Source organism: Homo sapiens, chromosome 2 (genome assembly GCF_000001405.40).
Source record: "Homo sapiens chromosome 2, GRCh38.p14 Primary Assembly".
NCBI lineage: Eukaryota > Metazoa > Chordata > Mammalia > Primates > Hominidae > Homo > Homo sapiens.
Window position 1 is genome coordinate 46,883,644 of NC_000002.12, and position 27,816 is coordinate 46,911,459.

At 44.9% G+C, this 27,816-nt stretch overlaps 1 protein-coding gene and 1 long non-coding RNA gene across 8 annotated transcripts in view, besides 1 other annotated feature; one reads left to right on the forward strand and one right to left on the reverse strand.

The window, feature by feature from the left end:
- Positions 6,661–6,845: a silencer, noted in NCBI's record as "fragment chr2:47117443-47117627 (GRCh37/hg19 assembly coordinates)". NCBI's record gives its function as "represses an EF-1alpha promoter that drives an FKBP-Casp9 reporter gene in an ReSE screen in K562 erythroleukemia cells {active_cell/tissue: K562}" and the evidence as "EXISTENCE:reporter gene assay evidence [ECO:0000049][PMID:32094911]".
- Positions 15,632–25,035, forward strand: MCFD2-AS1 (MCFD2 antisense RNA 1). The gene is made up of 2 exons (NR_199007.1): positions 15,632–15,671; positions 23,241–25,035. It is a non-coding gene; the product is annotated as an MCFD2 antisense RNA 1 (long non-coding RNA).
- Positions 18,227–27,816, reverse strand: part of MCFD2 (multiple coagulation factor deficiency 2, ER cargo receptor complex subunit) — a 39,986-nt gene continuing 30,396 nt past the window's right edge. For 3 of the 7 annotated variants that reach the window (NM_001171511.3, NM_001171510.3, NM_001171509.3), the window contains exons 2-3: positions 24,167–24,326; positions 18,231–21,951 (exon numbers count right to left, since the gene is read on the reverse strand). In NM_001171511.3, the coding sequence (NP_001164982.1) occupies positions 21,820–21,951; positions 24,167–24,326 (292 nt within the window). In that variant the 3' untranslated portion in view covers positions 18,231–21,819. Of the gene's footprint in view, positions 21,952–24,166; positions 24,327–25,379; positions 25,535–27,136; positions 27,231–27,816 lie in introns of all 7 variants that reach the window. The other 4 variants (NM_001171508.2, NM_001171507.2, NM_001171506.2 and 1 more) reach the window with 3 other exon arrangements.

The following is a 27,816-nucleotide window of genomic DNA, read 5'->3' on the forward strand; positions in this document are numbered from 1 at the left end:
TCAAGCAATCCTCTCAACTCAGCTTCCCTAGTAGCTGGGACTACAGGCGTGCCACCATGCCCAGCTATATGTATTTCATATATACGTATATAAACACATATATATATTTACATATGTATATACTAAAATTTATATATACATATGTAAATATATATGTTGCTTTTGTAGAGACAGAGTCTCGCTGTGTTGCTCAGGCTGGTCTTAAACCCTGGCCTCAAGGGATTCTCCTGCCTCAGCCTCCCATAGTGCTGAGATTACAGGCGTGTGTCACTGCACCCAGCCTCCATTTTCTATAATAAAAAAGTCTAGTTCATTTGCATATCAAAGGTCCAAACTCTCACCCAATTTAAACATCGCCCCTGCCGACTCCCAGCCCAATCAGGCTAAACTGCATGTGCTCTGGATTCTCAGGTGTGTTCAGCACTGACTCTCTTGGGAAGATTCGGTGTGTTCTTGGGAGACTCCCCATGGCTGGAGATACCAGCCTACAGTTTCCTGGACTTGACATCTTCTCCTAGAAACTGACGTGACAGGATAAGCCCTGTTTAACATTTCGTTAATTACACAATATTCAAACTTCTGTGGGTTTTTGTTTCTGATGTTGTTTTCTAACAAAAGCATTTAAGGGTATGAATTTTCATCAGAACACTTTTTAAAATTAATATTTGCATCTACTGCTTCCCTTGCCCTTCAACAGTTATGTATGCTCATTGTGCAGTGATTTTTTGAATTCACGAAGGCTTTCATTCGGTCATTCATCTGACAAATATGTATCAAGTGCCTTCTGGTTCTTAGGGATGTGGATACATCAAGAAATACAGTAGTCAAACACCCTGTACTCAGAGAGCTTACAGTTCCCCCCGAGTGTCGAGTGTCGGAGAGAAACTAATAATTATAATGACATGCAATGCAGAAAGTGAAAACAACACAAGTCACTGGTGATCTCAAAGCCCAGAGATGACCATGGTTCACATTTTAGTACATGACTTCCCAGTACCAGCAGTGTGTAGAGCATTATATTGTGAGCATTTTCCCACAGCAGCAAGCATTTTTGAACAAAATGATTTTTTTGTATTTCAAAATGTGGATGAATCATAAATATCTTAATCATGGAATCTCTAAGGCTGAAAGAGTTTTTAATGGGTGTCTATTCTACAGGTGAGTGGAGTGGCAGTAATAATTGGGAAATGGTGGGAACTCTGAATTGCAGTGGCATACTCCTTTAAGAAAGGGAAGGAGCCAGGCACGGTGGCTCACACCTGTAACCCCAGCACTTTGGGAGGCTGAGGCGGGTGGATTGCCTGAGCTCAGGAGTTTGAGACCAGCCTGGGCAACACAGTGAAACCCTGTCTCTACTAAACTACAAAAATTAGCCGGGTGTGGTGGTGGGCACCTGTAGTCCCAGCTACTTGGGAGGCTGAGGCAGGAGAATTGCTTGAACCCAGAAGGCGGAGGTTACAGTGAGCCAAGATTGTGCCACTGTACTCCAGCCTGGGCAACAGAGCAAGACTCCGACTCTAAAACAAAAAAAGAAGAAGAAGAAGAAGAAAGAAAGGGAAGGTAGCTGCTTCTACATTTCCACAAAGCCCAAGGTTGAGAGAATCCACTTTGAAAGCTAACTTTTTCTCTTTTAAAGGGAAGATACTGTCTTTCCTGGAGCTACAAGGCTGGACCCTTTACCACCTTCTTACTATGAAGGCTGGATCTGGCTCAAAGCCCCTTTTCTCAACTGCAGCCCAACTGCTGCTGAATTTCAACTTCACTTAAACTTTGGAAAGGTCCGGGGCATATTTTCAGCTGGGAGAGGTTTTCTTTTCCTTTATTTTAATCAGCTCGTAAGTCTATAAGCAGCTTGGGCAGTAAAGTTCAGACTTTGAGAAACCAAAAACTAAACCACCATTTGCATTCACACCAGGGTGGACAGTCTCAGCTCTCAAGAATTTTATGTTTGTCTTGGAAAAAACTGAGAGGCTAAGTGCAGCCAAGGGAGTGAGAAGGAAATGATGCTTCAGCCTGAGTGCTGCTTTTCTCTACAAAGATGGGGGTGACGATCAGAGAACCATAATGCAGGCAAGGAATCCAGTCAAGGAAGACGGTAGCTGTGCAGGTGGTTAGTGTGAAGGATGTGAGACTATCCTGCATGGCCCTCGATGTGTCTGGGCAAGGGAATTCACTAGCCCATCTGCCAATGGCGACCTCCAGGGCTTGACTTGGTCATCATCCTCAGGAGATTCCCATGTGGGTATTTAAGCTTTCCAACTAAACTTTAAGCTTTGGTTAGGAATTTTGTCGGTTTGGGTATTAGGTTTGTTTTAACACCACCTGCCCACCCAGGTCTCTGTACACAGGCTTTACTGTCATGGGATGGGATGGGGGGAAGCGCAGTTGGCCCTCTGTATCTGTGTTTTCTACATCCGTGGATTTCAGCTAACCACAGATCAAAAATATTCAGGGGAAAAGTGGATCGTGTCTGTGCTGAACATGCACAGACTTTTTTTCTCAACATTGTTCTGTAAACAATACAACTTAGCAACTATTTACATAGTATTTACATTGTATTGGGTATTATAAGTAATCTAGACATGATTTAAAGTACACAGGAGGATGTGTATTGATTATATGCAAATAATACAACATTTTTTATCAGGGACTTGAGCATCCATGGATTTTGGTATCCACAGTGTCCTTGGGGGGTGGGTCCTGGAACCAATCTGCTATGGACACTGAGGGACAGCAGTACATCGAAAGTTTTTGTTTCTGCCTCGTTTAAACACCACATGACTCTGAGCAAGTCAACTTCTATGAGCCTTGGTTTCCTCATCTGGAAAATGTTTGTGGTGTAAGCTTATGCCACATGAAATACAGCTTGTTAAACTGTAAAAGATTACATAAAGTTACCATTATCCTTCCTGCTAAATGCTAATCATCCACACTGAGATTTGAATTTCATCATGAAGTATGTTCATTTCATTTCATTCTCACCCTGGTAAGTTCCTAAGGAGAAAACATTATAGGAAACTTCTAGAGCGAAAGAATAAACTACTAATCACTAGAGCCTAGCACTGGGCTAGATGCTTTCTCATACTTGAAGACTCATTTATTCCACAGCTCTGTGAGGTTAGAAATATAATAATCCCCTTTCAGATGGAAAGAAACAGGCTTGAAGTGAGTTTCAGTGATATCTTCGAGGTTACCCAACTGAAGAAAAGTCACAGTTCTGTGCTGGTAAAGTGACTCTGAAGAAAGAGAGAAAAAAAAGCTTGCCCATTACTGTGGTGTAAATGCTCCCACTGTGGCTGATTTCATGCCCACCGGTATGAGCTAGCCTCTGCACACTACTGGAGGAGCTGCATTTGAATGCAAGCTCAGGTTTCCTAATTTCGGGTAAAGATCATTTCCTGAGCCCAGGGCAGTGACACTCCTCCCCAAGCAAAGAATCCCCTCACACCAGGAAGGACCCAGAGCTGGTTGGATCACTTAGGCCTCCACCCTCAGACCAACCTAACCAGATCCTCTGAGGCAGGGGCTGAGGATCTGCATTCTAGACAAAGACCTATACGTGCACTGTAATTTAGGTACCACCCAGCCCTCAGCACCAAGATCAAAGGCCTCTCCCACTCCTGTCTCCCAAAAGCACTGCAGGGAGGAGCAGACATGTCTCAGGAGACAGAAGACAGCATTCTGTAGCTGTCCCCTGTACTGGAATTCTGATTGGGTTCCTATGGGCTGAATCATGGTGGTAAGCTGATCGCTCTGTCTCTGTCATTAAACTCTCTTTATGCTTATGCTGCTTTTCACCAAATCTAAGATTCTACTGATTGTAAGTCACATCATTACTTTTTTTTTACCATCAAGAAATAAAAACTGTTGTCAAAGATGTTAAACTATGAAAAAGTACATCTAAGAATCATGAAATATGTTATCAGTGGGTGTATATACACTCCTTTATCTCCCAGTTTTACAATAGCACAGTAAATATTCTATTCTTTGAAGCCTGAGGTTGGGTCTTACTCATCTTAATTTATGTCCTCAGAGATCCAGCAGGCTTGGTTGAATGAATACATGCCTAGCAACATATCAAAATAGACAACTTATTAATTAGTCATCAATAAATGCCCCAGGTTTTGCACCAAGCACTTTCTATTTAATTTCCATAACAACCCAATGAAGTAGGTGCCAGACTTTCTCCACTTTACAGAAAAGGTAACTGGGGCTTGGAGAGGCCATGTAACTGGTAAGAACCCTGCCTGGGACTTGAATCCCAAGTCTGAAGCTCCTGATACCATTCACAATATGGAGAGATCCTTGAGGATATTGAAATGTTTTCACCAGGCCGGGTGCAGTGGCTCCTGCCTGTAATTTTGGCACTTTGGGAAGCCAAGACAGGTGGATCGCTTGAGCCTAGGAGTTCTGGGCAACACAGTGAAACCCCGTCTCTAGAAAAAATACAAAATTTAGCCAGGCATGGAAGCATGTGCCTGTAGTCCCAGCTACTTGAGAGGCTGAGGTGGAAGGATCACCTGAGCCCAGGAGGTCGAGGCTGCAGTGATCTGAGACCACTGCACTCCAGCTTGGGTGTCAGAGTGAGACCCTGTCTCAAAAAAAAAAAAAGTTCACAACATAGAATGGTACAGCACTACTATCTTAGTCTGTTTCTCAAGGCTTGACAATAAATAAACCTGTTTGATTTCTCTTTGGTGCTTGTGTTGCAAGAGGATGGATAACATTTTACAAAGCAAAGTTACCTTATTTTCTCACCTCCTTTGGACTTTTAGCTTTCTCAGACTTTTTGAAGAGGAATGGTAGCAGGAGAGTTTTCTCAGCTTTGGTAACTTCTGGAGGACTTGCTGAAATTAAAACTTAAGGATTCATGTTCCCATGGAAGCCCCAGGGAGCAAAGCAGTCAGCGCCCTCCCTCTCTCTCCCTCGGGGTCTGGCCCTTTCAATCTACCCGGTTGTCCAAATTCAGATTGTGTGCCATTGAATCCCACGTCGCTCATCTGCTCATCCCCACACTCACTGCCGCCCCTGGGGTGGCCGTCTCCGCTGGTTAGCCATCCTCATGAAAGGGTGGGGAAAATGCCTTTTCCCGTCTGCTCAGCTGCTACCAGTTTGGAATTTTTCAGGAGGTATTTGTATTGGTGCAAGAAAGCACAGTGGCAAGGGAGCTGACAGGGCGTGGATTCCCTCTCCGAGGTCTAGGTGCAAACTGCTTTGGACACTTCAGGGTTTACAGGGTCCACAGCACCACCATCACCTCTCCCTTGTCTGACCATCACTTATGTTTGGGGAAAGGCTAATAATTCCTTTCCCCAAAGCAGGTAAGTCTGAGCGTTTTGATTCTTTTCACATTCTTATTCATTTTCGAGTGATTTTGGGGTGTGTGTGTGTGTGTGTGTGTGTGTGTGTGTGTGTTGTGGAGTTTTTCTGGTGGCCATTTTATACAGGGAGAGGTGAAGAGGAGTCATTCCTGGCATTTGCAGGAATGAAAGAGAAGTGACACGTAAAAACCCTGGATGGGATACTAAGGCCTGGAAAAGGACATTCTGTGGGACACTGCCGCCATCTAGAGGTTCATCTGTAAATGACAAATGTATTAAGAGAACTAAGGGGTTCAATGATTGTCAGGATTGACAATAAAAATTTCGGCACAGTGAAACCCCGTCTCTACCAAAAATGCAAAAAAATTAGCCGGGCGTGGTGGCAGGCGCCTGTAGTCCCAGCTACTCGGGAGGCTGAGGCAGGAGAATGGTGTGAACCCGGAAGGCGGAGCTTGCAGTGAGCCGAGATTGCGCCACTGCACTCCAGCCTGGGCGACAGAGCCATCACTATTTTGAAATTACAGAGATTGAGCCCAACACAGTGGCTCACTCCTGTAATCCCAGCACTTTGGGAGGCTGAAACAAGCGGATCACTTGAGGCCAGGAGTTTGAGACCAGCGTGGCCAACATGGTGAAACCCCATCTCTACTAAAAATACAAAAATTAGCCAGGTGTGGTGGCACACAACTGTAATCCCAGCTATTTGGGAAGCTGAGGCATGAGAATAGCTTGAACCCAGGAGGCACAGGTTGCTATGAGCCGAGATCCCTCACTGCACTCCAGCCTGGGGGACAGAGTAAGACTCTGTCTCGAAAAAAAAAAAAAAGAAAAAAAGAAATGACAAGAGATTGGTAGACCTGCTACTAGATCTTACTATGCTAATTAGGAAGCACATATATTCTGACAAAGGCTTATAAAAAGAAAAATAATAAGCACATATGTTACTAAATCACTCATTTTTAAATATTTTGATGCTTACATTTCAATATGATTAATTTCTTCGAAATCCTTTGTTTTTTATTTTATGCATTTGAAAACATTGTTCTGTAAGGGGGTCCACACACACAAAAGGTAAAGGATCGCTGCTCTGGAGTCTCAGAGAAGGGACAGGTGACCATGGCTGGACAAGGCAGAGAGGGCTTCCCAGATGAGAAAAGACACAGGACTTTGCACTTTATTAAAAGAGAGCCCCAGGAGCTCTCTTTTAATAAAGAGAGCGGTGGCTCATGCCTATAATCCTGGCACTTTGGCAGGCCGAGGCAGGTGGATCACCTGAGGTTAGGAGTTCAAGACCAGCGTGGCCAAACATGGGAAACTCCGTCTCTACTAAAAATACAAAAAAAAAAAAAAAAAATAGCCGGGCATGGTGGCAGGCGCCTGTAATCCCAGCGACTCAGGAGGCTGAGGCATGAGAATCACTTGAACCTGGGAGGCAGAGGTTGCATTGAGCCGAGATTGCCCCACTGCACTTCAGCCTGGGCGACAGGATAAGCCTCCGTCTCAAGGGAAAAAAAAATTAGCTGGGTGTGTTGGTGGGCATCTGTAATCCCAGCTACCCTGGAGGCTGAGGCAGGAGAACTGCCTTGAACTTAGGAGGCGGAGGTTGCAAGCTTGTAGTAAGCGGAGACTGCGCCACTGCACTCCAGCCTGGGCGACAGAGCAAGGCCCTGTCTCAAAAAATAAAAAATAAAAAAAGACAGCCCCAGGGCAATTTCAATACAGGCCTTCTCTGAGGAAGCAGAGCCAGGCCTTTAATCAAAGTGTAAAAATAGAAAGGTTTCTGTGACTTCTCCTATGTCCAACCTAGAAAGTGGTCTCTTTGGCAAGAATCTGAGAAGGTACTTCATACTAAAGGATAAATGACTAGAAACTTTCATTTCAGGAGGATTTTCATTTAACAAGACTCAGAGCATTTATTTATTTATTTATTATTTTATTTTATTTGTTATTCAGACTAGGTCTTGCTCTGTCCTCCAGGCTGGAGTGCAGTGGTGTGATCACAGTTCAAGGCATCCTCAACTTCCCAGGCTCAAGTGATCCTTCTGCCTCAGCCTCCCAAATAGCTGGGACCACAGGCATATACCACCATGCCTGGCTAATTTTTTATTTTTTGTAGAGACAAGATCTCACTATGTTGCTCAGACTGGTCTCAAACTCTTGAGCTCAAGCAATCCATCTGCCTTGGCCTCCCAAAGTGCTGGAATTACAAGCATGAGCCACCACACCTGGCCTATTTATTTTTTCCCCTGACTCAAAACATTCATGAACACAAAGGACTGGCCCTCTGTGGGGGGCGTTTGGTTGTATGGCAAACTGCCTGATGCTCTGGGCAAGGTCAGCCTCCCCTTGAATCATACTGTCCCCGCCAGACCTGCCCGTGTGCATTGATTAGGTTTTCTTCGTTAAAAGAAATACAGAGGCCGGGTGCGGTGGCTCACGCCTGTAATCCCAGCACTTTGGGAGGCCGAGACGGGTGGATCATGAGGTCAGGAGATTGAGACCATCCTGGCTAACACGGTGAAACCCCGTCTCTACTAAAAATACAAAAAATTAGCCGGACGTTTTGGCGGGTGCCTGTAGTCCCAGCTACTTGGGAGGCTGAGGCAGGAGAATGGCGTGAACCTGGGAGGCGGAGCTTGCAGTGAGCTGAGATTGCGCCACTGCACTCCAGCCTGGGGGACAGAGTGAGACTCCGTCTCAAAAAGAAAAAAAAAAGAAATACAGAAACCAAGCTGGCCAGAGTTAGAAAAAGGCAAGTCAACAGGAGCCTTTGAATCCAAGGGAGCATGGAACCCCACTTCTCAGAGCAGTAGGAACTGGGCAGCTCAGGCCTCTTGGGGATAAGTGTTGTGGGACCTCTCCAGAGCAGAGCTTCTCAAATTTAAATGAGCATGCAAATCACTGGGGATCTGTTGAAAAGTAGATTCTTCAGTCCTGTGGGATCTGGAGGAAAAAAAAGTAGATTCTGACTCAACTGACCTGGGTGGATCCTGATGTTCCACATTCATAAACCCCTGGGTGACACTGCTGGTGTGTGGCCCACACATTGAGTAGCAAGGGCACGGAGCTCTACCACTCCTGTGCCTTCCCATGCCTCCTGCCTGCCGCTGTGCTTCTCAGGCCCTGTCAAATCCCAGGGGAGAGTATGTGTTGGCCCAGCTTGGGTAGGCATCCAGGCCTAGCTCTGAAGCTGTGGTCAGTGAGGCTGGGCAGGTCTGATTTCTTGGAGGGGATGAACTGTGAGAAGAGCAGAGAGGGAGGCACACAGGTGCCCGAGCTGTAGCCTGGAGGCCCCACCTTGAGGCAGGGGAGGTGGTCAGCTGTGGCCTTAGACTTCCCCAGCTGGACTCCATGCAGTTACCATCAGCCTCTGCTCCACCTGCGCCACCTTCTTCCCGTCCCGTGACCTGCTCCAGGACCCCAAGGCTGGGCTGTTGACGAGGTTGTCATGGATGGGTTCCTGGGTTCCCATTAACCCACAGGCTACAAGAATAGGCACTTCCAAAACCCTTTAAGAAAAGACCAGGGGCACCTGGCTTAGCATCCACCACATCTTTGTCCCTTTAGAGACGGTTACCTTGTTCCCTTCTCATACCGGCCAGAGCCCAGGAATTTAACTACAGACACCTGAGACCCCCTCATGGCTAAGCCCTTACTACTTCCTGCACTCTGATTCCCTGGCATGCGAGAGACACAGGATCTCTCCCCAAGATCTCCTTGATTTGCATGCCTGTTGGATCTCTGGTTTCAGGCTTGTTCAGTCCTGTGGGACTTGAGCCACTGAGGCCAACCCTACACCACCCCCTCAAACTCTCCCTCCCCTCCCTGGGCAGCAGGGCTCATCACTCTGGACAGGCATGACCTGCAGTCCTTCCCTAGCCACCCAGGGGGGAATTGGAAATCCATGGACAGAAAATGCCCAGCGATGAGGTTTCCTTTTGATTCTGTCAGAGCAAAGCGAATTCTCTGAAAGCCTCTGAAACAGGCTTTTATCGAGAGCACTACCAATACAGTCCCTGGGGCTAAACACCCAGTAATGGGCCTAGTGAGATACTGTCCCAGAGGGCTGAAGTTTCAAACTGCCATTGTGGTGTTGAAAAGATTATGTTGCCTTCAACACTTCTTTTTAATTTTTTTTAATTTTTAAAAATATAAATAGAAACAGAGTCTCACTATGTTGCCCAGGATGGTCTTGAACTCCTGGGCTCAAACAATCCTTCCGCCTTGGCCTCCCAAAGTGTTGGGATTATAGAGCCACGGCACCCGGCCTTAACACTTTTTTTTAAATTACACTTTTTATTTTGATTATTGTAGATTCTCATGAGGTTGTAAAAAATAATGGAGAGAGATGCTGCATACCCTTGACCTTGTTTTCCCCTAATGATAGCATCTTCCAAAACTATAATACAATATCCCAACCAGGATGTTGACCCTGGTGCAGTCAAGGAACAGAACATCCCCATCACTACAGGATCTCTCCTGTTGGTCTTTGATAGCTACACCCACACCCTCCTGTTCCCACCCCTTCCTTAATTCTTGGCAACCACAAATATGTTCTCCATTTCTATAATTTTGTCATTTGAGGAATCCAGTATGAATGGAATCATACAGTATATAACCTTTTGGGATTGGCTTTTTGTGCTCAGTACAATTTTCTGGAGATTCATCCAGGCTGTAGCGTGTTTGTTTCCTTTCTGCTGAGTTTGCTCCTTTTTATTGCTGAGTAGTGTTCCATGGAACAGATGTGCCACAGTTTGTTTAACCATTCACTGTTTCCAGGTTTGACTATCACAAATAAAACTGCTATAAACACTCATGTGCAGGCTTTTGTGTGAACATAAATGCAATTGCTGAGTCATACGGTAGTTATGTGTTTAGTTTTTTAAGAAACTGCCAATTGCTTTCCAGGGTGGCTCTACCATTTTACATGTGTCGTTTTACTACTTAAAGTGACATATAGAAAACTTACTTTTCTTTACATTCTTTTACCCTCCCCCCATTTAAATATCTCCTCTACATACATTTAGAACATTGGACTATGTTACAATTTTTGCTTCAATCACTAACCATAATTTAGAAAATTCAAGCGGAGAAAGTCTATTGTGTTTATCTGTATTGTTGCTTACCATGTTCCTGATATTCTAAGTCTCTCTTATGTATTGTTTTTCTGCTTAAAGAATTTCCTTCAGTTTGCGCCTTTAATGTAGATGCTAAGAAAACAACAACAACAACAAAACCAAAACAGAACAACAACAAAAATACAATTTCTGGCTGGGCGCAGTGGCTCACACCTGTAATCCTAGTACTTTGGGAGGCAGAGGTGGGTGGATCACGAGGTCAGGAGTTCAAGACCAGCCTGGCCAAGATGGTGAAACCCCATCTGTACTAAAAACACAAAAATTAGCTGGGCGTGGTGGCGGGCACCTATAATCCCAGCTACTGGGGAGGCTGAGGCAGAGAGTTGCTTGAACCTGGGAGGCAGAGGTTGCAGTGAGCCGAGTTTGTCCCACTGCACTCCAGCCTGGGCAACAGAGTGAGACTCTGTCTCAAAAAATAAAAAAATAAAAATAAATAAAAGAATTTCCTTCTGCCATTCTTTTAGGGTACATCTGCTAGGGACAGATTCTCTTAGTTTTCCTTTAATTGAGAATATCTTGATTTCCCCTTCATTCCTAAAGGATATTTGGAATGGACATAGGATTCTGGATTGACAGTTCTTTCAGGCCTTGAAAAATGTTGTGCCACTTACTTCTGGCCTCCATGGTTTCTGTTGAGATAGCTGCCGTCATTCCATTGTTTTTCCTTTATATACGAGCTGTTGTTTCTCTTGCACTGCTTTTAAGATTTTTTTCCTTTGTCCTTAGTCCTCAGAAGTTTGACTATGATGTGTCTTGGAATAGCTTTTCTTAAGTTTACTCTCTTGAGGGTTTGCTCAGCTTCTTAAGTCTATAGCTTCATGTCTTTTGTCAAATCTATGAAGTTTTCATCCATTTCTTTGAGTATTTTTTTTTTCAGTCACTCTCTTTTTCCCTTTCTGGAACTCTGATGACAGGAATGTTAGGTTTCTTGTTATAGGTCACAGGTCCCTAAGGCTCTGAGCATGCATTTTTCAGTCTATTTTCTCTCCGTTGGTCAGACTGGGTAACACCTATTGTTCTGTCACCCAGGTCATTAATTCTGTCCTCTGTCCCCTCCATTCTGCCATTGAGCCTATCCACTGTTTTTCGTTTGTTTGTTTTTGTTTTTGTTTTTGTTTTTTGAGATGGAGTCTCGCACTGTTGCCCAGGCAGGAGTGCAGTGGCATGATCTCGGCTCACTGCAACCTCCACCTTCCAGGTTCAAGCAATTCTCCTGCCTCAGCCTCCCAGGTAGCTGGGATTACAGGCACCTGCCACCACACCCGGCTCATTTTTTGTATTTTTAGTAGAGATGGGATTTCACTATGTTGGCCAGGCTGATCTCGAATGCCTGACCTCCTGATCCACCCACCTCGGCCTCCCAGAGTGCCCGGATTACAGGCATGAGCCACCGCACCCGGCCCCACTGAGTTTTTTATTTCAATTATTGTATGTCTCAGTTCTAAAATTTTTATTTGACTTTTCTTTATATCTTCTTTATATTTATTTGCTGAGATGTGTTGTTTTCATTTGTTTTATATATGTTCATAATTGTTCATTGAAGCACTTTTAACTATGGATGCTTTAAAATCTTCATCGGATCATTCTGATATCTGTTTTCTCAGTGTTGACATCTTTTTTCCTTTATTCATGATCTTCCTGGTTTTTGGTATGAAGACCGATTTTTATTTATTTATTTATTTTTTTTTTAACTGAAACCTGAATATTTTTGTAATATGTTATAAGACTGGATCTTATGTAAACCTTCTGCTTTAGCTGGTATTCTAGGACACCCCTCTGGCAGGGTAAAGGAGGTGTGCCACTGTATCACTGACAGGTGTCCAGGCTCCCTGCTCTGCTTCCAGTGACACTCAAGGAAAGGACTTCTCATTACTGCTAGGCAGGGGTGGGAGTTTGGGCTCCCAAGTGGTCTCTCCTGACACTGTGGTGAACATCACCTTGTTATCACTGGGCAGTGCTGAAAGTCCTGACTCTCCAGTAGGCCTCTTCTGACACCATCCAGCAGGAAGGGGAGGGGAGCCTCCCTATTGACAGTTAGGGGTCCAGGCTTCTTGTATGTTCTCCACTAACCCCGTGGGCAGAAGGGGGGCTCATTACCACCCAGGGATAATCCCAGCTCCTTCCTTGGCCTCCTCTGATGCTACCATAGCAGAAAGAAGGAGGGGTGCCTTGGCGAGGCCTGGTGAGGGTGGAAGTCTAGGCTCCCCACTCTGCTGCCATGGATGCAGGTGGGGCTGCAGCCTTCCTGTGGTGTTTGGTTGGAGCAGAGCGGTTATTATCTAGAAGCTTTCTGTCTTGCTTGTCCTTTTCTTCATCCTTTGGGTAGAGACAGCAAGTTTTTACTGGGGCCTTTCTACATCCTTTGGTGTTTCTGAGCTCCTGCTTCCTTAGCTCCAAGTCTACATATATGAGGCAAAAGGAAAAACCAGGGAACTCACTGCCATGTTGTTGCTCAGGTCGCAAGGTCCCTGGACAGTCTGCTTTATTTTCTCCACTTTTCAGAATCTTCTTGTTGTTGTTTTTATAATGTCCAGGGTTTTTGTTGTAATTTGCAAGAAAAATTAGGGGGAAGTGCCTCTACTCCATCTTCCTAGAAGCAGAAGTCCTGCTTGGTTTTTAAAGATCCAAAAAGTTCAGATATAATGTTCATGGTTTCTGCTATTAATTCCGTGGTTGAAATGATAGATAGATAGATAGATAGATAGATAGATAGATAGATAGACAGATAGATGATAGCTAGATAGATAGATAGATGACAGATAGCTAGATAGAGTTCTTAATAGAATGAATTCTCTCTTGAGGTGGAAATGTGACTTAGCTCTTTTTATTGAGGATGCTATGCAAAAATACATCTGTGTCCTCTGATGAAAATACTCTCAGGGGAAGCCTTTAAGCTGGGCATGGTGGCTCACACGTGTAATTCCAGCACTTTGGGAGGCTGAGGTGGAAGGGTTGCTTGAGCCTAGAAGTTTGAGACCAGCCTGGGCAACACAATGAGACCCAGTCTCTACAAAAAAAAAAAAAAAAAAATTAGAAACAAAAAGTCTTCTTGCTTTTTCTCTTCTTCAGAAGCTATTTAACTCCAGAGCCTAGACGAAAGAAGTTACATGGCAAACACACAATAAATATCCAATGAATGAATCAACAAATAAACAAACACACAACTGAATAAAATGGTAGATATATATAGTGCTGGTGTATACAGCACTAATGTGACCAGAAATTTAAAAGCACTAATATCTCGTTGCTCTATGTTTAGGGAAACACTTGTTGGTATATGCTATGAGTCTAGCTAAAGGAAATAGCCTCTTTATATACAATGTGAATGAAGTTTTAATTAGAGTAACTCTTTGGGACAGCAATTTAGCAATATTGACCAAGGTTTAAAATTGCTCAAACCTCAGTAACTCAATTTCCTCAAAAAATAATGGTAAAAATAGAAAAGGTTTTATGCATGAGCATGCCTTTGATAAAACAAACAAACATACAATTGTATAAATATCACGATTACAAGTATGTAAGAAACAAACAAAATAGAAACAGGAAAAAAACATCAAAAGGAGATAGACCGTAATACAATGGCTATATTGGACAATTGGATTGTATTTTCATCCCTCCTCTATTCCGTATTTTCAAATGATCTTTAATGAAAGTTTTTTTTATAATAAAACACCAGCATTTTATTCCTGTAGCACCAAGAGTGACAGAGTGAATTACAGTTGTGTAGTCAAGCACAGAGTGGGAAAAGATGTCACATTTATACATTTTAAAGAGCATTACTGTAAAAATCAATTACATTTGACATAGAAACTCCCCTCCCTTGAGTTCCCCTGCTAAATGTTCATCCTCACACAATATCCTGTAGACTTTCCCAGTCCTGTTCCCATCTGCAATTCAGCACTCTGGTGCCATCGAATCCTGGGCACAGACCAGAACATGGCTGACCTTCCCGTTTGCCTCCCATCTCATCTCTCATGCGCCTTCTTGGCATATTTCTATTCTCTCTTCCTGGCTATAGGACTTGGGTGGGTGACTTAATTTTTGTAGGCAGACCTTCCCACTTGCTCAGGAAGCATCCCCCTGAAGGGATCTGGCAGTCTCCTGGCTGCAAAGCAGGCACTCCTCCCTACTAAGGAATGCCTGGGGTGAGGGGAAGCAACCCCAGTGCAGATGCTTTGGGTTAAGAAGTAGAGAGGTGTAGATCGGCTCAAATGGCCCTTGCATAGCTGAATAATTTTTGTTTTCCTAAAATGGTTTTAGATGGGATCGTGTCTGAAAACCAGTCTTTGTTCCTGGGAGGTAAGTTTGAGTGATTCCCGGCAGTCAGGGGGCAAAACTGGATGATGATGTGCTGTCAGAAAGAATAGGGAACACAGCTTCCCCACTTGTTGATGGTGGGGGCACAGGCGAGAATACGGTGCCCACGGCCCTCTGGACTGTTCTGCTGAAGGCCCGAGCCTTCCAATACAGTATAATAATGGCCTCAGCAGAGCCATGGAGCCAGAATACCAGATAGCGGCGAGGAAGGAGATTTCTCTGAAAGAAGCAAATAGTCCATTGCCAATCATGCTATGGCATCCCGTGCAGCAGCTCCCCACCCGCCTCTTCCGGTAATTGTACCTGGATTTCCTTCTCTGAAATGCCTCCTCCCCACTGTCAATCATTTTATTACCAGTGGGGCTCCAGCCCCTCACCCAGGATGCAGCACATAACCAAGGCCTGAGCCAACTGGCCCATGTGGCATGGCCCTGGCCTCAGTGATTTGTCCAGGGGTGGACTGGGAATAATAATGCTGGCTGTCACTGAAAAAGTGCTTCCTCTATCCCGGCTTCGTTGTTAGGATTTTACCATGTTAACTCAATTAACCCTCACAGTGACCAGATGAGGTGATACCATCATTATTATCCCTATTGTCATATGAGGAAACTGAGGCACAAAGGCACTAAGTAGCATGCCCAAGCGACAGAGCTCATAAGTGGCAAAACCAGGACTGATACCAAGACAGTCTGACGCCAGAGTTCATTCTCTTAGCACTATGCCATAGAGCCTTCTAGGTCAGCCGTGGCACAGGTGTGTGGCATAGGTGTGCCGTGATAGGCTTTTTCCTGAAGCTGAGGCGCATGCTCTGGAGCGGGCGCCGCCATCTTGCCCCTACGCGGAGCCGGAGAATGCAGATCTGAAGATGGGGAGGAGAGCAGAGCGTGGTGGCACGGTGAGCTCTAGACTTGGTCTGGTCTGAAGCCAGTTCATTATTTGGCAAAAAAATTATTACGTTCCCACCTTCTGGACCCGTTTGTTTCTCATTCCAGGTTGAGTTGGTTTTGGTTACTCTCCTCCCCGTATCGCATTTTGTCTTTTCTTCCTAATAACTCCTATTGATTGGATATTAAATGTCCACGATAGATCCTCTTATTTTCTCATCCATTCTCTGTTATCACTTATCTATTTGTCTTTCTGTTCTGCTTTCTGGGAGATTTCCCTGAGCTTATGGTTTAACCCTTTTAAGAAAAAGCATGGGGGAGGGGTATCATCATTTTTATTTTTAGATTCTCTTTTCCAGTTGTTCCTTGTTTTATTGGCATCTGAATGTTGTTCATGGATGTGATGAAGTCCTACTTCTCTGAGGATACTGATTATAATTTTTAAAAGTTATCTTCTAGTCCCTGCATTATCTCCTTGATGTTTCCTTTCTGTTTGTTTTGATTTCTGCTTCACCTTAAAGCTTTCCTTCAGGCTGGGTGCGGTGCCTCACGCTTGTAATCCCAGCACTTTGGGAGGCCGAGGTGAGCGGATCATGAGGTCAGGAGTTTGAGACCAGCCTGGCCAACACAGTGAAAACCCGTCTCTACTAAAAATACAAAAATTAGCTGGGCATGGTGGCAGGCGCCTGTAATACCAGCTACTCGGGAGACTGAGGCAGGAGAATCGCTTGAACCCGGGAGACGGAGGTTGCAGTGAGCCGAGATTGTGCCATTGCACTCCAGCCTGAGCGACAGTTAGACTCTAAAAAAAAAAACCAAACAAACAAAAAATGCTTTCCTTCAGCTGTCTTATGATTCTAAAGAATCCATTTAGATTTAAGTGTGAGACACTAGAAAGCTGATCTGATGCTATCGGGGCATGGAAGGGCTCAGTTTGGTGGCTTCTCTGCTGGGGGAGGAGGCCAGCCAGATTTTTCATAGGAACTCCTAAATGTCAGGACTTGAAGATCCTTTCCCTGGGGGCAGTTCAGTTTCTCTAGAAAAAGAACATTTAACCTCATTCCTAGGGCGTGCGAACCTGGCTGCTGTGATCACATGTAGTTCATTGCTGTTCTGTTTTCACCATGGTCTCTCATTCCCGCTCTCTTTTGCTTGGTATTTCCAAGCTGAGAGTTTCTCTGGCTCACTTTCTTCAGAGACAGAGAAGTCACCTGTCAGACGAGGTGAACCACAAACCCCTTTGGTCTGGCTCCTATGTCAATACTTTTGTGTTGTTCATTGTACTTGCCGTGACCCTTAGTTCCTCCTTGAGAGAAGTCACTCATTAATTCATCCATTCATTCACTCAGCATTTATATGGAAGAATGTAAGAAGCTGAGAAGCCCCTTTGAACCTTGCCCCTAAAGAGTCATCAATTTCTTCAAAGCCCCTCCATCCCCTAGTTTGCAATGAGGAAGGGGCTCAGGCTCTTCAGCCAGGCTGGGGAACAGATGACTGTTTATTTAGCACCTACTCTGTGCCAGGCACAGCACTAGGTGCTTTATCTACTTTCTCTCATTTTGCTAATCCTGTTAATCCTCTGCAGGTAACTGTTATTATAGTTATATTTTAGATGAGAAACTGAAGTATAGAAACTTCAATGCTAAGAAACAGGCCTAGGATTTCAACTCAGGCATGCCTGAGTCCAAAGCTTGTGCTCTTTCTTCATATAAGGCTGCTTCTGCTGGATATACTTACCTCCATTTTAGAGAAAAGGAAACTGGGGTGCAGCGATGTTCCTTATACATTCTGAAGAATTCTTGAGGCAGGCTGCAAGAAGCCAAGGCCTCATGTGTGGGAGATAGAGGGCATATGCAGGGAAGGGCCCATCATGCTGTGTCCCTGATGTCCCAGGAAACTCTCCCATCAGGAGAATTTTTTATAAGGAAGGGCAGGCAAGGACCACAAAGGCCAGCATGGAATAGTTACTAACAGCAGCCAGCTGTGGAGAAGGAAGGTGTTCCAGCCTTGTCTGTTTGATGGGGTGATTCCACTATCTGAGGATCTGCTTCTCTCCCTCTCCCAGCTGCCAACAACTGGGAGCCCATTCACTAGATCCATCCAGAGGGGTAGTTCTGGATGAAGAAGGGTCAGTGCAAGGTCCGAGGGTCTCAGAGGGTACGGAGGGAGGCAATGATAATTTCCTTTTAAAAGGCAGAAAAAAGTGTGTCTTCTCAAAATGCCAGGGGAGACTTTTTTTGCTTGGGTCTGGTATGTTTTCAATAATGCTATCAAATTAAAAAACAGTCGCCAGACCAGGGGAAAACGCTATGCAGTCTCCTAGAGAATGGTGTCATAATTTAAATTTGACCAGAGAATGAAGATCCAAAAGTGATTTCATTCAGAAGAAAAAATGCCTAAAAGGGGAAAGTAACTTTGAATTCTGAGAATTGACTCCTGCAAAAGGAGCAGGGTATAGCCGAAGATAGTCACAGGAACTATGATAAGAGCAGGCACATGTGAACATTTGTAGTAAACACACCCTGCATGTGGCAGGAGAAGCTGATGTGAACAAAATCAACTGCTCGAGGTTTTGCTTCATCAGTTTTATTGGTCATATATCCAGAATTCATCATATATAAATCTTTCAAAATAATGAGCTATTACAAGAATAGTTTACAAGTCAGCTCTGACTGCACAAATACTTGACACAGGAAACCATTTTTACAAATACATATGTTTTCTTATAATACTGTAATAAAGAAAATAAGTCTGTATACATCCTACGACAAATTTTGTAGTCTCTTTTTCCCATTCAATCATCGTTTCAGGTTTTCTATTACAGAACGTCCATCACATCCAATAAACCAAATTACAATCTGCTGCTTCTTCTCATTTTCAAATACTATAAAGATTCACACTGTTAAAGGGTTTTTTGGGTTCCTTTTCTAATCTTTCCTGATTTGAAAAGAATCCATGTATCTAGGCTAAAAGAGGTAACTTCAACAATATCCCTCTTGACTAGAACTTCTATCTGATTAATCATTGTTTGGTGAATTATCTTTTCACTTCCTACTTAGGCTAGGCCAGGTGGTAGTTTTACCCCTGCTGATAAAGTCCTGACATTCCTAATAGTTCCTAAACTGCAAATAAAAAACCCTAGAAACGAGTGAAATAGAAAAGAAAGCTAAACCACTATTGATTAGAGAACACACTCAAATTCAGGGTCTCTCCCAGGTTGAAGAAGACAGAAAAGCAATAAAGTATAAGGATGTGGCAGTAGTTGTATAAAATACTGAAAATCTGAAAGAGTCATCACTTAAGCCAGTAGTGTATCATTTCCAAAATGTCAGAGGATACAGAATCTTAGACTCTGTGGCTAGGCTGAACTCAGAATCTCAGACTCTGTGGCTAGGCTGACATTCTTATGCTGTGGCTTTGAAATAGCCTAATAAATATCCACTTGCCCAGAGCAAGTAATCATTTAGGCCAGGGGAACTTTACAGAATACTGACCATGTTTGCCTGAAGAGATAGGAACCACCAGGGCAAACATTTGGTATTCACTCCACTTCACTGTTACTGAAAAGCATCCACTTGGCAAAGCCTGTTGTTTTACTTTTCAGGTGATGTGAATTAAAATTAAGAAACTAGCAGTATTCTACTACAGTCAAGTTCCTGAGTACTCAGCTCCAATTATCTAATATTCTTGAAAGGATGCTGATATGGTTTGGTTGTGTCCCCCCACAAATCTCAACTTGAATTGTATCTCCCAGAATTCCCACGTGTTGTGGGACAGACCCAGGGGGAGGTAATTGAATCATGGGGGCCAGTCTTTCCCGTGCTATTCTCGTGACAGTGAATAAGTCTCATGAGATCTGATCAGTTTATCAGGGGTTTCTGCTTTTGCTTCTTCCTCATTTTTTCTTGCCACAATGTAAGAAGTGTCTTTTGCCTCCCACCATGATTCTGAGGCCTCCCCAGCCATGTGGAACTTTAAGTCCAATTAAACCACTTTTTCTTCCCAGTCTCGGGTATGTCTTTATCAGCAGCGTGAAAACGGACTAATACAGTAAATTGGTACCAGTAGATTGGGACCTGCTGAAGAAATACCCAAAATGTGGAAGTGACTTTGGAACTGGGTAACAGGCAGAGGCTGGAACAGTTTGGAGGGCTCAGAAGAAAACAGGAAAATGTGGGAAAGTTTGGAACTTCCTACAGACTTGTTGAATGGCTTTGCCCCAAATGCTGATAGCAATATGGACAACAAAGTCCAGGCTGAGGTGGCCTCAGATGAAGATGAGGAACTTGTTGGGAACTGGAGTAAAGGTGACTCTTGTTATGTTTTAGCAAAGAGACTGGCAGCATTTTGCCCCTTCCATAGGGATTTGTGGAACTTTGAACTTGAGAGAGATGATTTAGGTTAACTAGCGGAAGAAATTTCTAAGCAGCAAAGTGTTCAACAGGTGACTTGGGTGCTTTTAAAGGCATTCCCTTATAAATAAGGGAAGCAAAGCATAAAAGTTTGGAAATTTGCAGCCTGACTATGCAATAGAAAAGAAAAACCCATTTTCTGGGGAGAAATTCAAGCCAGCTGCAGAAATTTGCATAAGTAGCAAGGAGCCTAATGTTAATCCCCAACACCATGGGGAAAATGTCTCCAGGCCATGTCAGGGCAGCCCCTGACATGTGTGTGCAGCCTAGGGACTTGGTGTCTTGTGTCCCAGCCACTCCAGCCATGGCTGAAAGGGGCCAACATACAGCTCGGGCTGTGGCTTCAGAGTGGAAGCCCCAAGCCTTGGCAGCTTCTATGTGCTGTTAAGCCTGCAGGTGCACAGAAGTCAAGAATTGAGATTTGGAAACCTCCGCCTAGTTTTCAGAAGATGTATGGAAATGCCTCAATGCCCAGGCAAACGTTTGCTGCAGGGGAGAGGCCCTCTCAGCGGCAGGGGAGAGAACCTCTGCTAGGGCAGTGCAGAAGGGAAATGTGGTGTGGGAGCCCCCACACAGAGTCCCTACTGGGGCACTGCCTAGTGGAGCTGTGAGAAGAGGGCCACCGTCCTCCAGACCCCAGAATGGTAGATCCACCAACAGCTTGCACCGTGCACCTGGAAAAGCCGCAGGCACTGAACAACAGCCGTGAAAGCAGCCAGGAGGGAGGCTGTACCCTACAAAGCCACAGGGGCAGAGCTGCCCAAGACCATGGGAACCCACTTCTTGCATCAGTATGACCTGGATGTGAGACCTGGAGTCAAAGGAGATTATTCTGGAACTTTAAAATTTGACAGCCCTGCTGGATTTCGGACTTGCATGGGCCCTGTAACCCCTTTATTTTGGCCAATTTCTCCCATTTGGAACAGCCGTCTTTAATCAATACCTGTACCCCTGTTGGTATCTAGGAAGTAACTAGCTTGCTTTTGATTTTACAGGCTCATAGGTGGAAGGGACTTGCCTTGTCTCAGATGAGACTTTGGACTGTGGATTTTTGCGTTAATGCTGAAAAGAGTTAAGACTTTGGGGGACTGTTAGGAAGGCATGATTGGTTTTGAATAGTGAGGACATGAGATTTGGAGGGGCCAGGGGTAGAATGATATGGTTTGGCTATGTCCCCACCCAAATCTCAACTTGAAATTGTATCTACCAGAATTCCCACGTGTTGTGGGAGAGACCCAAGGGGAGGTAATTGAATCATGGGGGCCAGTCTTTCCCATGCTATTCTTGTGATAGTGAATAAGTTTCACAAGATCTGATGGCTTATCAGGGGTTTCCACTTTTGCTTCTTCCTCATTTTCTCTTGCTGCCATGTAAGAAGTGCCTTTCACCTCCCGCCATGATTCTGAGGCCTCCCCAGCCATGTGGAACTGTAAGTCCAAGTAAACCTCTTTTTCTTCCCAGTCTCGGGTACGTCTTTATCAGCAGCATTAATACAGACTAATACAGATGCTTGAAGCAAGCCCTTGTCCAATAAGGTATTTAATAGCACTTAGGGACTATTAGATGTCCCATTTCTCTTCTCTTTCATTTCTCTTATCTCTTCTCACCCCAGTGTAACGAATCGCTACAGGTTTTTACCAAAATGCTGCAGCAGTAGTTGGAAATGAGTTATTTTGCATTACTAAAGTGTTCAATCACATTATCACGGGTCACATTTGTATATAACCAGGAGATGGCCAAATAACATCTACTGCAGTGATTTTGCAAATTCAGCATAGTCAATGTATCCATCATTGTTCTTGTCATCATCTCTCAAAACACCATCTATTATGTTAATCAGTTCATCTTCACTCATTAGTGGTGCCTGTTCACTCCCTTCCTACAAAATACAAATTAGACAATGATGAGTTGCGCATTTTACCGGAAGAAGTGCTTAACTAACGTCCAAAATATCCATGTTCTTTCATGGCACTGTTTATTAAAAAAAAAAAAAAAAAAAAGGAAAAACAAAACAACAAAATATCCACGCTCATATGTGTCCAAAAACTTTCAATGGAGTATGGGGCTACTTCTAGGAATCTAGATATATAGAGAGAGAATATGTATTATTGAGTCAATTTATCATAATCCAGTTTAGAAATTACATTTGCCAGTTAAAAGAAGGCCCTTCAAAATAGGCTTTTGCTTATTTGTTTCATTATGGCTCATTCTTCTTTAATTGGAAAAGTGCCAGTCCTCCTGAGGGTCAGCTCTGTGCACAAATTTGCCTGATAAAATAGAAACAGTGACGAATTGGACAACAAGTTGGCATCAAAACAAGAGGAAGAAGGCACTGCCGATGAGCAGAACCTGTTATGATCTTTGAGGAGAAAGTATTTCCCATGCTCCAAGAGCAGGGTTAGTGGGCTGAGGCTGTTCACATCCTTGGCTGGTTCTTCCTTTGCCACATCTCCCACATTCACCATTCCCTCTCCTGTCACCACCACTATCCTCATCTGCCAGGACTGCTGACCCCTAATTCCTCCGCCTAACACTAGTCTCTCCTCATGTCCTTCAGTCTGTCTCCCACAACCAAGGATCTTCCCTAAACAATGCCATTCTCCTGTGCAAAATCATTCATGCTCCCTGCTGCCTTCAAACCTCACCTGCACTCCTAGCAGCGAATGTAATCCCACTCACCTGGCTAACTTTGCCTTGCTTCCTCTCTATAGAGGGCAGTGTGGCAGAAGGGGAATGACATTAAATGTGGAGGCACGAGGATTTTTTTTTTTTTTTTTTTTTTTTTTTTGAGACAGGGTCTGACTCTGTCACCCAGGCTGGAGTCCAGTAGCACGATCACAGCTCACTGCAGCCTCGACCTCCCAGGCTCAGGTGTTCCTCCCCACTACCCTCCCACCCCGTCACCCCAGCAGCTGGGATTACAGGCAAGCATCACTATGTCCAGCTAATTTTTGTAGAGACGGGATATCACCATGCTGCCCAGGTTGGTCTTGAACTCCTGGGCTCAAGCGATCCTCCTGCCTCAACCTCCCAAAGTGCTGGGATAATAGGCATGAGCCACTGTGCTTAGCCTGGCACAAGATCTTGATTTCAGTGTCTTCACCTAGAAAATGGGAGGGTTTTGTTTGTTTTTTGTTTTCTGAGACAGGATCTCGCTCTATTGCCCAGGCTGGAATTCAGTGGCAACATCGCAGCTTGCCACAGCCTCAACCTCTCAGGTTCAAGTGATCCTCCTACTTCAGCATCATGAGTAGCTGGGACTACAGGCATGCACCACTGAAAATGGAAGTATTAACAATGCCTGCCACTGCCTACTCAAGATGTTGCAAAGATCCAACGAGATCTCTAACCTACTTGAAAGGGCTTCAGAAACTTTGGAGCACCATACAGTATCACACAAGCCCTCAATTACTGCCACGTCCCTGAATCCCTTGGTGTCAATTCACCATTAAACAACTTCTCCCTTGCTCTGCAGTTTGAATACGGTCTGTCTTTTAGGCACTGATTCTCATACTCTGGTGTGTAACAGAAATGCCTGTAGCACTTAAAGATACAAATGCCCAGCCCTGGGACTTCTGCCTCAGCAAGTTATCCTTTGCGGGAAGGATCGTTGGACAGAAAGAGGCAGAACACAGAAGAGAAAGAAGCAGCAGCACCTTTTTTTTTCTTTTCTTTTTTTCTCTTTTTGAGACAAGGCCTCACTCTGTTGCCCAGGCTGAAGTGCGGTGGCATGATTATGGCTCACTATAGCCTCGACATCCTGGACTCAAGCAATCCTCCCACCTTAGCCTCCTGAGTACGTAGAACTACGGGCATGCACTACCAGGCCTGGCTAATTTTTTAATTTTTGTTTTGTTTGTTTTGTAGAGACAGGGTCTCACTATATTGCCAAGGCTGGTCTTGAACTCCTGGCTCAAGTGATCCTTCCACTTTGGCCTCCCAAAGTGCTGGGATTACAGATGCGAGCCATCATGCCCAGTGGAGAAGCAGCACTCTTGGCACATAAGGACAACACAAGTCAACAAGACTGGGGACCAAATTAACAAAGGGAAGCCTTTCTGTGATACAGTCCCCCAAGCCACTGCCAGACCTACCTCCTTATGGACATGAGTGATGGCTGTGGAGAGTTCTAAGCCATCAAGCAAATTATTGCCATCATAATCATGCATTTTGAAGTAATGGAGCTGCAATTCTTGTGGCGACATCTCCGCCTCTGGTTTGTTGATGACACCTTCTAGATGCTCCATGATATGCCTAAAAATCAACAGTCAGGTTCAGGCCAATTGACAGATACTGGGATCATGCTGAAATCTTAAGGACTCTGAAAAGTTCAAGATCTTAAACTTCCTCCAGCTCAGAAAAACAAACACCAGCAGTGGCAGACCACACTCAAGGATTACACAGAGATAGACAAGGCCTTGAGAGGAGCAGGAAAAGTCAAATAGACCATCTGTTATGCTGGCAGGATTAGGGTATTCTTTCCTCTTTATTATTAGAATTTTGTTATAACATTTTCAGGCCATCAATTTAAAAATATGTCCTTTAAAACTTTTTTTTTTTTTTGAGACAGGGTCTCACTCTGCCACCCAGGCTGGAGTGCAGGAGCGTGATCTTGGCTCATTGTAGCCTCAACTTCCCAAGCTCAGTTGATTCTCCCACTTCAGCCCCCCAAGTAGCTGGGACCATAGGCATGTACTGCCACATCCAGCTAATTTTTTGCAATTTTTTAGTAGAGACAGGTTTTCCCTATATTGCCTAGGCTGGTCTCGAATTCCTGGGCTCAAGTAATCCACCTGCCTCAGCCTCCCAAAGCACTGGGATTACAGGTGTGAGCCACTGCACCCAGCCTTAAAAACAAAGGATAACCGAGTATAATGCGTGAGGCTAACTGGCCCAAGACAAAAGCTGCAACAAATGATTCAATGTTTGAATGTGTTGATTTAAAAAAGGTCTTGTTATAGTCAAGAAACCTTAGCTATTTTCTGGATTCTGCTACTATGACTGTGTATGTGTACCTGTGTGTCTATTTGTATGTGTGTGTGTCTGTCTGTGGTGAAAAAAAGGAGAGACCGGATTCAGACAAGTAATGTGCCCCATTTGGGCCTAAAGATCTTCCACCTGTGATACAATGATGAAAAAAGAATACCTGACTTATAGGTGGCAATAAGGAATAAGAATCATCCTTGAAGAATGTCAAGGAGCCATAGAAACAGGAAGAAGGAAAGGAGGACTGAGCATGCCCTTGCCGCTGGCTCAGCTGCAGATGATGGGGAGGCCACTGGACCACAGCCCGGGCTGAATACGTACTCTTGGTCGTGCACTGTGTTCTTATCCAGGCCCATGCTGCCGGGTTGGGAGAAGCTGGCTGCAGGCTCCTCAGCCCTGGCGCCTGGGGCACAAAAGGCCCAGAGCAGGCCACACAGGAAGGGGGTTCTGAGCAGGGATCTCATGGTCATCAATATCTGTGAGATGGGAAACACAGAAGAGGAAGGCAGAGCATCAGAGCAAAGGTTTCGTTCAGGGCTTGACATGGTATGATCCTGGGAAACCTGATGAAGCAGTAAGGTTAGGAAGAGAGCTTGTCAAACACGGCCCAATGCCAGCTCTGCTTTGAGACTGTGGGATGACCCTGGGCACTCCAAGTCACTCAAATGGCAGGGGAAGGCTCACGAGGTTTCCTGAAGTGCCTGCAGAGTGCCAAGCAACACGTGAAAGCTTGAAGGGACTGGAAGATTATTCTTGCCTCCCAGAAGTTATGGTCCCCTGAAAGAAATATTTTCTATCAAGAGCACCAGGAAAGGCAGCCAGCAAGTTATATCAGATTATCAGAGAAAGCGAAAACCCTCTAGGAGTTCAGGGGAAGAAATCTCCTCCGAGTGGAGGAAAATCAGAGAAGGCTGATAGAGCTGGTGACACTTCAGCTGGGCCTGGACAGATATGCAGGGACTGAAGGACCACAGGAATGGTGGGAGCAGAGTGGCAGGTGCCCACAAGCGGGAAAGAAACTACAAGTAGTTCAGCTGGGCTGCAGCCTAGAGGGTAGGAAGCAGACAGGACAGAGGTGGCTCCAAGGCCTAGACAGGCTGTACTGGACAGGGCTTTGCACACTAGGCCAGGGCTTGACATCTCCTGCAGAGAAAGACAGGAGAGTCACTTACAATTCATGAATGGGAGGTGAGATCAGAGCTTGGTTTCAGAATGACTCATCTGGCAGCACAGTGGGGAAGGCATGAAGTGGCAAAAGCAAGACTAGAGGCAGGAGCATGGTAGCCAAGGGAGTGGTAAGGCGGGTCAGATCAAGGTCTGCGGCAGCGGACAAGGTTCTGTACCTCCTGGGTGGTAACAGTGGCAAGTAACTACAGTGAGCGGGCACTGGAAAGAAAAGTTACAGAGAAATCAGGATGCCATCAGGAACTCCCAGGGTTTGGCCACACTTGGAATTGTGGTCAATAAGATGACAGTCAGCTACAGAGCAAGCTCTTGGAGGGCAGGGAGAACTTTAACCCCACCAGTATTACCCGCCAAGGGTCAGGCAGGCCTTTAATAATTGTTGATTCAATGGAAAGTCTTGGTCTGTCCTAGGGCTGACAGACTGACCTCAAAAAGGAAGGTGAAGGACAGCCAGGTGACCTACATACAAAAACAAAAGACCTGACCGAACACTCACTTCCCAACAGGCAAAACAGATTCTGCTAGATAACAAGGCCAGGGATTTCTAACAGGTCAATTGTAGTCCACAGCCCCAAACCAGCAGTGGTAAAGACAAACCATAAGGCACTGGTCATCCCCTTTACATGCTACACACAGGGCTCAGCTCAGAAGCTGTAGCTGTCTTTGTGCCTGGGGCTGAGAGGTAGAGGTGTTATAGTCCCTCTTACCCATCCTAAAAGGCTCTCAGGGCAGAACCCTGAAAGTGTGAGTATGCCACCCTACAACACTTAGAAAAATTTCCCAAATCCGTTTTTCCCATTACCAGTATTGCTTCCCATGGCCCCCTCCTTAAAGGGGACAATAGTCACTGGGATGTCTAACTTCCAGGATAGGCCAGGCATGGTGGTTCATACCTGTAATCCCAGCACTTTGGGAGGCTGAGGCAGGAGGATCACTTGAGGCCAGGAGTTTGAGATCAGCCTAGACAACACAGTCAGACCCCCATCTCTACAAAAAATAAAAAATTAGCTGAGCGTAGCAGTGCACCCCTATAGTCCCAGCCACTCAGGAGGCTGAGATAGGAAGATTGCTTGAGCCCAGGAGTTCAAGGCTGAAGTACACTCCAGCCTGGGTAACAGAGTGAGACCCTGTCCTCCACCACCAAAAAAAGGAAGAAACTTCCAGGGTGCTAAAAAGCACCTAGAATCTAGTCTACTTCTAAACAGTGACATCAAAATGCAATCTGTCTCAGACCTTTTATTTTTTAATTTTTATTTTTTTGAGACAGAGTCTTGTTCTTTCGCCAGGCTGGAGTGCAGTGGCGCAATCTTGGCTCACTGCAACCTCCGCTTCCCAGGTTCAAGCAATTCTCCTGCCTCAGCCTCCCGAGTAGCTGGGATTACAGGTGCATGTCACCACGTCCAGCTAATTTTTGTGTTTTTAGTAGAGACAGGGTTTCACCATCTTGGCCAGGCTGATCTCGAACTCCAGACCTCAGGTGATCCACCCGCCTCGGCCTCCCAAAGTGCTGGGGTTACAGGCATGAGCCACCGTGCCCGGCCACCTCAGACCTTTTATATCTGTAGTTTAAAAA